The 9738-nt window shown below is 39.8% G+C and overlaps 1 annotated feature.

Annotated features, from left to right (window-relative positions):
- Window positions 3337-3386: an enhancer, noted in NCBI's record as "active region_3735". NCBI's record gives its function as "activates an Ori minimal core promoter by ATAC-STARR-seq in GM12878 lymphoblastoid cells {active_cell/tissue: GM12878}" and the evidence as "EXISTENCE:reporter gene assay evidence [ECO:0000049][PMID:35858748]".

Here is a 9738-nt window from a genome sequence, read left to right on the forward strand (position 1 = left end):
TCATCTCCTTTTGCCATTCATCCCATCCAAATTCCATCAAATTTTCTTGTTTCATAAACCTACTTATAATACCTTGACCATAATAATAAGATGTCTTAAAACGACTTCCTTCTAGGAAGGTCTTGAGTGTCCCTGTGGCCAGTGAAATGGTAACACTTCTGGTATGAGAATTTCATAGCCCAGCTGATGAATATCCAGCTCAGAGTTAATCAAACTCTATTGTCTTTTAATGAGCAACATTATCTACTTAAAATGGTATGACTCCTCTGTCTCAGGCTTGGCACTTAAAAGTTGGGAGCTGCTAACCAGAACAGGAATTTCCACTAGGAGTTAAGATGAAGAAAAATTAGAGACATAACCATATGTGCAAACAGCAGCTTCAACACTGAGGGTGGTTGGCTGTGTTTGCAGCATGAACAAGGCTCCTGCTTAAAGACACACCTCTCCAGGACAAGAGACCTGTCCTCACCACCAATAGGATAAATATGGCTTTTTAAACTTTTTTCAGGAAAAAAAGCAAGATAGAACTTTTGAAATTAAAAAAAAAAAAAAACCTTTGGGGCCTGGGTGGGGTGGCTCACACCTATAATCCCAGCACTTTGGGAGGCCGAGGCAGGTGGATACCCTGAGGTCAAGAGTTCAAGACCAACCTGGCTAACACGGTGAAACCCCGTCTCTACTAAAAAATTAGCCGGGCATGGTGGTGCACACCTGTAATCCCAGCTACTTGGGAGACTGAGGCAAGAGAATTGTTTGAACCCGGGAGGCAGAGGTTGCAGTGAGCTGAGATCGCACCACAGCACTCCAGCCTGGGCAATAGAGTGAGACTCCATCTCAAAAAAAAAAAAAGGGGCCTTTGGAATCTTGAGAAACAGTAAGAAAGCAATCTTCAGGCATTCCCCAAAATAGCTACATCAGAATAGTATAAATGTGACCATCCAACCATCCATAGCCTAAAATCATATTTTGACCAGTTGGCTCTTGAATAAACAATCTCTCCTTTTTCTCTTTTATGAAACAACTAAGTGTTTTATTTCTGATGCCTCTCTAAGGCTTTTAGAGAAATATATGTGTCTATATGTGTATGTGTGTTGAGAAATTTAAACAATACAAAAAGAGATACTGAAGCCTCCTCTATCCTTCCTATTCCCCAGAGGTAACTATTAATGATATCTGAGTACTTACGTTTCAAGGCTCTTTTTCTGAATATATAGAAATACAGTTTTATAACACAAATGAAATAAAACTGCTCAGCAAGGTGCTTTTTTTTTTTTTTTTTTCTTTTTGAGACGGAGTCTCGCTCTGTCGCCCAGGCTGGAGTGCAGTGGCATGATCTCGGCTCACTGCAAGCGCCGCCTCCCGGGTTCACGCCATTCTCCACAGCCTCCTGAGTAGCTGGGACTACAGGCTCCCGCCACCACGCCCGGCTCCATCTCCTGACCTCGTGATCTGCCCGCCTCAGCCTCCCAAAGTGCTGGGATTACCGGCGTGAGCCACTGTGCCCGGCCAGCAAGGTGCTTTTTAATTGTATCATAAATTACATTCTTCTTATCAGAACACATAGGTCAACCTATTTTTTGAATGGCTGCAAAGTCCATCATATGAAACACCATAAGTTATTTAATCAGTCCTCTGTTGTTCATTTTTCTATTTTTCTCTGTCTCATGCAATACAACCTTATGGTTCTAATTTGTTATTTGTCAGTAAAGTTAATGATTTTACCATGATAGTTATATTCTTATTATTACTTTAACTGGTTTTCTTTATTAGCTTATTAGCTCACTGTTTTCTTCATTAGCTTAGGTTTTTTATATGTAATAGATATTAATCCTTTGTCTGTTATCTAGATTACACATTTTTCTCAGTTATCATTTCACCTTTATTGAAGTGAATAAAGTTTATTTAAGTAAACTTAAGTTTACTTAAGTTAACTTTGTTGAAGTAAATAAAGTTAACGTTTTAATTAGTCTTATCAGTCATTACTTTCTTTTATGATTTTTGGGCTTTATACCATACTTAAAAGGGCTTCTTCACTCACTATATTTGTATAAAAATATTTCTCTTCTATTTTAATATTTTCATGTGATTTTGTATTTTATATTGAGATATTTTATCCATCTGGAATTTATTCATAATGTGGGAATTTAATATTTCCTGAAGTTGGTTCATAAGTAATTTTATTTTTAGATAAATGCTTATGGTGTACTGGTTAAGGCACCAGGTTTTTCAGTTATAACAATCTTTACTTGAATCTCAGCTTTGCCTCTTTTATACAATGTGACTTTTGGCAAGTTGTTCTCTAACTAATTCTTTCAGCTATAAAATATGGATATTAAACTACATCTGGAAGAATTATGAAGCATAAATAGGAACATACAGGAAAGTGCTTAGCATGGAGTTGGGGTATGAAAAGAACTTAATAAATATCAGTTATTCTCATCATTTTTATTTGATTCTGTGATAAAGGTCAAGGCAATTGTTTTCTGTAATGTTAGCAACATCTTACTGCTTAATTCTTTTATGTCTGTTGGTTGGTTGATTTGTTGCTGAGTTAACTAGTTGCTTTGTTTGGTTTGGATGTAAGCAAAACAAAGGATCATCCACCAGACCCCTCTTTGAACTTTTCTGGTATATATCATAAAACCCATTATGTAATGGCTCCAATTTGCTGCAAAGAAATGAACTGCCAAAGTATGATGTTACTTGCTCATGATATATTTAGAGATTATAACTTCTAATTTATTTTGAATTTAGCAGTGAACCTAAGGTTAAGAGGTGGCAGCAACTAATTTCCTCTGCTTATTTTCTTAATTTTTATTGTAACGATTGCATTCTTAGTATAATTATCTGTAAAAAATTGTTGTCTCCTCCATGAGATTACCTATAATCACGTTAAGTGCAAGACTCCATACCTAACACAGTGCCTGGCTCATAGTAGATGCTCAATAAACATTCCATGAATAATAAATGGAATATCTATTGCACATCTAATGTATGCCCTGAAATTATTTAATTTTTAAAACAATCATGCAAGGTAAATGTTATTATTCTCATTTCACAGATGAAGCAGTTGAACTCAGAGTTAATGAAGCTGCCAAAGAGACTGAAATTACATGACCTAAACTCAGGCTGTAGTAACCTTGGTGCTGGTGGCTGAGGCAGGACTGGCCCTGGATAGAATGTAGTAAGTGTGGGTCTCAGCTTGGCACTTCTCAGAGGCAGCTTTCTATTCTCCTCCCTGGTAAGGCCAATCTTAGTGGTTACCTTTATGTAAAGTAGAACTATGTCCTGTGCCAAGCAAGATAAGCAGCTCTATGCATGTCCCTAAGAAGCTAAAATAGATGCTCATCATCCCAGTCTGCAAATTAAGCCAAAATTTCAGTGTCACTAGCAGTCAACTCTCCAAAGACAAATAGGTTGTAATCTAGTTTCAGAAAGGAAAAAGTGACTAGTTGTCTGAAAGAACTGACATCACCTGCAAGCTAAGTACCTTTTCCTGTATCTGTGGGCTTTCTGCTCACCCTGGCTGTCTTGCTGTGCTCACTTGTACCAGATGGACGGCGAAACAAGACTTGCCAGGAAACTGAAACTTGCAACCAAACGAGAGAGACCAATTGCCAGACAGCGTGTCTCAACACTGCTCCGTCAGCACACAACTTATGTAATCGCCTGTTTATGCAACAGAGTACATGAATTTTAATTGATAGCACTGTTAGGTTTGATTCAGTGTCATCTAGTAGAGAGTTCTTCACTGGAAATTCTACTTGTGGTTCTACCACTAAATTTGTGGTATTAGGGGGTGGGAGGAAAAGTCAGAACCAGCTCTGTTTGCAATAATGCAACTCAATGCTGTATTCAAGGAGAAGTGGAGTGAACAGAGGGATGCTTCTTCAAAGTTGAACACATTGGAAAAAATGAAGAATTTGTAGCAGGGTTAGAGGAAATACAATAAGATATCAAGAACCTTATAACGTCTAAGTAACCAAAGCTGAGACAAGAGTGTTAGAAAAAGGAAGCTGTGTCTTTAGAACTAACAGTAAGTATAAAGCTCTCCACAGAGGAAGCATCTGCGCGCTTAGGTCTCACTTTAAATATCAGATCCTCTAGGAAGCCTTCACTACTTCCCCTACACCCCAAAACTGACTTAAAGAGTCATTGTGTGTGTTCAAGTAGCACCTTCTCTTCCACCTGTTATAGCCTGCATTGCACAACATCCTAACCAATGGCTTACTTGTCTCTCTTTCCACAAGTGTCAAAAATTTACCAGGACAGTGCTGGGACCTCATTCACTGTCATGACCCTTGCACCAAGCTCAAATCCTGGTATGTAATGAGCACCTCGGAAGAATTTGTTGAATTAATGAATAAACAGTGTCCCATGTTACACAAAATAGTGATGATCCCACTGAAGACCATCAAAGCCAAAGATGAAGGGAACATAAAAGAAGATATAGAACAACAAGAAGGAAGAGGAGGAAGAGTTGAAGGGAAAAGAGTTGGAGCAAGGAGAGGAAGGTGAAAAGAAATGAAGAAAGAGGATGGTAAGGAAGAAGAGGAAGGGAAGAGGAGTTGAATGGAGAAGAGGAGGAAAGAGGAGAAGGAGGAGGAATGATGAGGAGGCTGAGAATAAGAGATGAATGAGGAGGAGGAGGAGGAGTAAAAACAGCTTCAAAGAAAAGAAGTAGGAATAAACTCTGCCTCACAGAATATCATGACAGACATAAGGCTTATCCTCCAAATGGAAAAAAATGCGAAGCAATAGAAGTACTTGGAGGATCCCAAGCACTTCCAGGTAATGGTATGCAAAGTCCTGCAGTGGGAATGGTAGCAGCTGTGTGGAGTCCTGATATGGCCACTAGGGATGTCTTACTGGAGTGAGTGTACGTACGCTACCTGAACCTTATCTCGCTGCTCTCTCCTGCTGAGTCAGGGAGCAGATAACCCTCTCAGAAGGGTCTGAGGGACAATGAAGTTTGAAGGAAAGAAGCTGAGTGAGCTAAAGAGACATAAAGGACCAACATGGCACCTGGTGACCTAGGTTTGAATCCTAGCTCCTTCAATTATCATGAAATGGCCTTTGGAAAATTATTGCATTTTCTGTAGCCTCAGTTTACCTACCTATAAATCTATCACAATAATAGCATTCTCTTCGCATTGTAATGAAGATTAAATTAAATGAGATAGCATATAATTACCATAAAGCATCTAGCCCAAAAGCTCCTGATATGTAGCAGTTGCTCAACAAATACTTGTTTCCTTTCTTCCTCCTGGTTGAAAAGAGGTTTTGTTGTCCTTATTTCTGCGCACAGGCATTTGGAATTCAAAAGGAAAAATCTGATGGGAATAGCAACTCTAAAGGTGGTAGTGGATTTTGGGAGATCTATTGCAGGGATCTGTCCTCCGTGTTATCCTGTTTACGTTTTCCCTCCAATAACTTAAATGCAGTTAGAAAGAGACTGAATATCAAAATGTATGAGACAAAAAGCTAAGTTTAGGACTATGAACGATGGCAGCATTAGGTTCCAAAAAGATTTTAGTCAGCCGGAGGAACAGGCTTGACTAAAGTTCACAGAATGCAAAATGAAAGTGTAAGTTCCCACACCTGGGTTCAACAACTCAAGTGTGTAAATGTAAACATCATACCTAGATTGATTGATACTGAACATTATGTTTTTGATATGGTTTACACTAATTTGTATGTAGCATGAAATCTCAGCCAAGTGTAACTATATGAAATTTAGCACCTTCGCTTGAGTTTAAATTTCTGAAGAAAGTAAAATGAATTTCATGCCTGCATGACTCAAATAGATGGAGAGGTCTTTTTCATTTTCCCGAAATATCTTCAGGCTGTTCTAACACAACATGGTCAAGATGACTCACAGGACAAAGCAACCTGCCCTATCCTCCTACACGAGTCTCATCTTTCCTGATTAATGCTTTCTTATAAGCCTGAAAGTAAGACACTCAGAAACTACACTTACTCCTGGGAAAAGGCCGGGCATGGTGGCTCACTCCTATAATCCCAGCACTTTGGGAGGCCAAGACTGGGATTATCTCCTGAGGTCAGGAGTTTGATACCAGCCTGGCCAACATGGCAAAACCCTGTCTCTACTAAAAATACAAAATTAGCCAGGCATGGTGGTGCACATCTGTAATCTCAGCTACTGGGGAGGCTGAGGCACAAGAATCACTTGAACCCGGGTGGCAGAGGCTGCAGTGACCCAAGATCATGCCACTGCACTCCAGCCTGAGTGACAGAACAAGACTCTGTCTCAAAAACAAAACAAAAAAACAAAAATCCTGGGAAAAAATGTCTGAATACCATCATAACAATGATGACCAAAGAGTACCACTGTGACAGAGCCAAGAAGTAAATTGTTTAAGAAAAGATCTCTGATTAATGCTGAAAATGAAAAAATTGATAGTTCCTTCAGGGCAATTTTGGAGTTACATGAGTACAACAGTCCCATTCTCTCCAAGAACTAAGAAATAAGGGAAATTAGGGTTGCCACTTGAGAATGGACTTTTAGGATGAAAAGGAAGAAAATATTCTAAATCCGTAAACATCACTACCTCAGTGGGAATGATTATCTAGATTAATGAGGAATAATAATTCAAGTAAACCAAGAATGTAGCAATGGATGAGGTTGAGAACTTAGAGAAATGCAGTTTGGAGAAGCAAAGATGAGGTGAAGATGGCTTACTAGAACCAACATGGCGGAGGTACCACCACTTGGCACCTAGTCCAGCTTTCAGCTTCTTAGGTGCTGAAATACTAAGAACTGGGCATCGTGGATAAAGGAAGTTCTTCCTTGTTAATTTTTTTTTGATAAACTAATTAACTCATGGGAGTTTCCAGTAAAGCTGGTAATCTGGGTTTGCAGTTTGAGTCCAGAGTCTGGACTGTGTACTGGATGCTACACAATGCTGAATCCACTTTTATTTGAAAAATATTGAGCTCTGTATATCCAGCATCATGCCAGGTTCTGAGAATAAAGAACAAGACAAAGATCCTATTCTCATGGAGCTTGTGATCCAGTTTTGTGCTGTAAGATTTCTTCACAAGCAGCCGGTTACCTCCTTGGCAACATCCTCACAATAACCAAGACCCCCAAAAGTGGTTAAATCTGGTTAAGGTTTCCCAGGCACTGATGACCCGCCAGAGTCAGGCATAAGAAGCCAGATTTCACTCTCCTGCCTCACAGAGCTTTCAAGAAATGTAGCCATGCACTCTACTTAAACATCTTTTAATTCCAGTATTAGGGACTGAATATTGACAATGAACTGGATTCACCAGGGATTAACACTAGGGGCTTGCTTTCCCTGGGATTCTGATACAATCCCTCCAAGAAAGTAAGCATTCTCCCTTTATTTTGTGTAATAAAAATAGTAAAATGAAAATAATGGAAAATTACTGCTGGGTATGCATTGGATAGATGAAGAATGTGGAACCATTAAAAGGGGTTTGCAGACTAGGGCCACACAATGGATCTGATTGGGAAGACAATTCTTAATTTCAAGAAAGTAGCATCTTACCATGCAAAGAAAAATAAACTTTGTAATTCAAAGTCCTGGCTTACAGCCTAGCTCCATCATTCTGTGGCACTGTAGCTTTTGCTGAGGATTTCTTTATCTAGAAATAGTATGTACCTAATTGACTTTCCAATTTGAAGTAACCATTTTCCTTTCACAAATGAGAATAAGAATTAAAATGTATAAAGGAATAAGCCCATTTCTCTGTTAGACAATTTGCTGTGAGAATGAGTCTGGGCAAAGGCATGGCACTGAGAGAGGGAGGGTGGATTACCACAGCAGACATTCAAGTAAACCTCTCCCAACTCACAGCCTTTGCCCAGCCCATCCCTTGAACTAATCTCTACTTGGAAAGAAATCTCTAGCAGGCTGCTGTCATGCTGAAGAAAGAAATGCCTTGTCATTGCATTTGTGAAAGAAACCTGTAATGATTTCTGATTGGACCAAAACCAGAACACTCAGCTACCACAACTGGGGCTAGCACCTTTCCATAGAGAGACACAAAATTTGTTCAATGCCTGGCATCACATGACTTCTCTTCAAAGAGATGTTTGGCCAGAACTGCAGCTGGATAGGAAAGTCTAAAAGCAGAAATAGGCCAGGCATGCTGGCTCATGCCTATAGTCCCAGCACTTTAGGAGGCCAAGGTGGGCAGATCACCCAAAGTCAGGAGTTTGAGACCAGCCTGGCCAACATGACGAAACCCCGTCTCTGCTAAAAATACAAATATTAGCCGGGCATGGTGGCGTGCACCTGTAATCCCAGCTACTCAGGAGGCTGAGGCAGGAGATTCGCTTGAACCCGGGAGGCAAAGGTTGCAGTGAACCGAGATTGCACCACTGCACTCCAGCCTGAGCCACAGAGCAAGACTGCGTCTCAATGAAACAAAAACAAAAACAGAAATAAATCAGAAGCTGGTGTTGCAATATTATTTGACAAGAGATATTAACTATGCAAAAACAATTCTTTGTCCAATAAACTTGGAAAAGTGTTGTAAACCAAATTATCTCCTTGAAGATTCACATTGCACAAAGGCACATCAAACGCTCTTTCCTCAATCTCTATGCTTGACTTGCATTGGTCTTCCTTCAATCACATCAACATGTGACATGAGGATTTCTGAATGAGCAGTTCCCTCTGCCTCAGATTATCTTCCCTCTAATCATCACATGACTGCCTCTTTCTTGTTATTAGAATCTCAGGCTAAATGGCACCTTTTCAGAGAAACTTTCCTGAGTACCAAATTTAAACTAGCCATTGGTCCACTCTGTCATATTTCAGTGATGCCTAATTTTCTGCATGTTAAGTAAAAACTCCAGGTAAACATGACTCTTTTCTTCTTTGTTCACCACTGTATCCTCAGCACACAGAAGTGCCTGAAACAAATTTAGCACTCAAAAACTGTTTGTCATAAATTGTTCAAAAAACATCTGTTGTTTCACAAAATATAGTTTGGAAAATAAGATCTGGTTTCAACCATTTATTGGATAGGTGGGGAAATGTTCGCCCACAGAGGTAAATTGGCTTGCCCAAATCATGGCATCCACTGGAAGCACAAGGAAAATCAAGATAGGCTTAAATCCCAGAATGTAGGAGAAGAAATTAACATTTATCGGGTGACCCTTCTGTGCTTTTCAGTGGTAGAGCTTATATCATCACTTAATACTTAAAACAACTGTACAAGAGGGGCATTATCATGTTTATTTCTTCAGATGAGGGAGAAAGGGCTCAAGCTAATAAAAGGTAGTACTAAAATTTGAACCCAGGTGCAAGGCAGTTCAAAGCCCATGACTGTGACATTGCACCACACTGCCCTTTTGGAGTAGAAGGATCTACCATAGCATTAATGATCTGGACTAAAAAGTGGGAGCATGCCCTAAACAAGGGAAATGCAAGCGCCTAGCACAGGCACAGAAGTCTACAGTCAGAGCATGCCCAGGAATGAGTGATGCCTTCTGATTACCCAAAACAGCAGAGTAAAAGCTTCTCAAGTGTTGCCTTCCAGAACATCACCCGTCCCAAACGCAGAGTCAGAATTAGTCTGCAGATAGGAGCCAAGTGCCTTGCACTTAAAAGGTTTCTAATGTGGGAGCAATAAATAAGGCAGGTTATTGTAAATACTTCGGCCAGGAGTTGGCGTAGAGCAAACTAGGAAGCTGAAAACCCTCTGCAGATGTTATGGTTTACTTATTTATGCAATTGACAC

Source organism: Homo sapiens, chromosome 10 (genome assembly GCF_000001405.40).
Source record: "Homo sapiens chromosome 10, GRCh38.p14 Primary Assembly".
NCBI classification, from domain to species: Eukaryota; Metazoa; Chordata; class Mammalia; order Primates; family Hominidae; genus Homo; species Homo sapiens.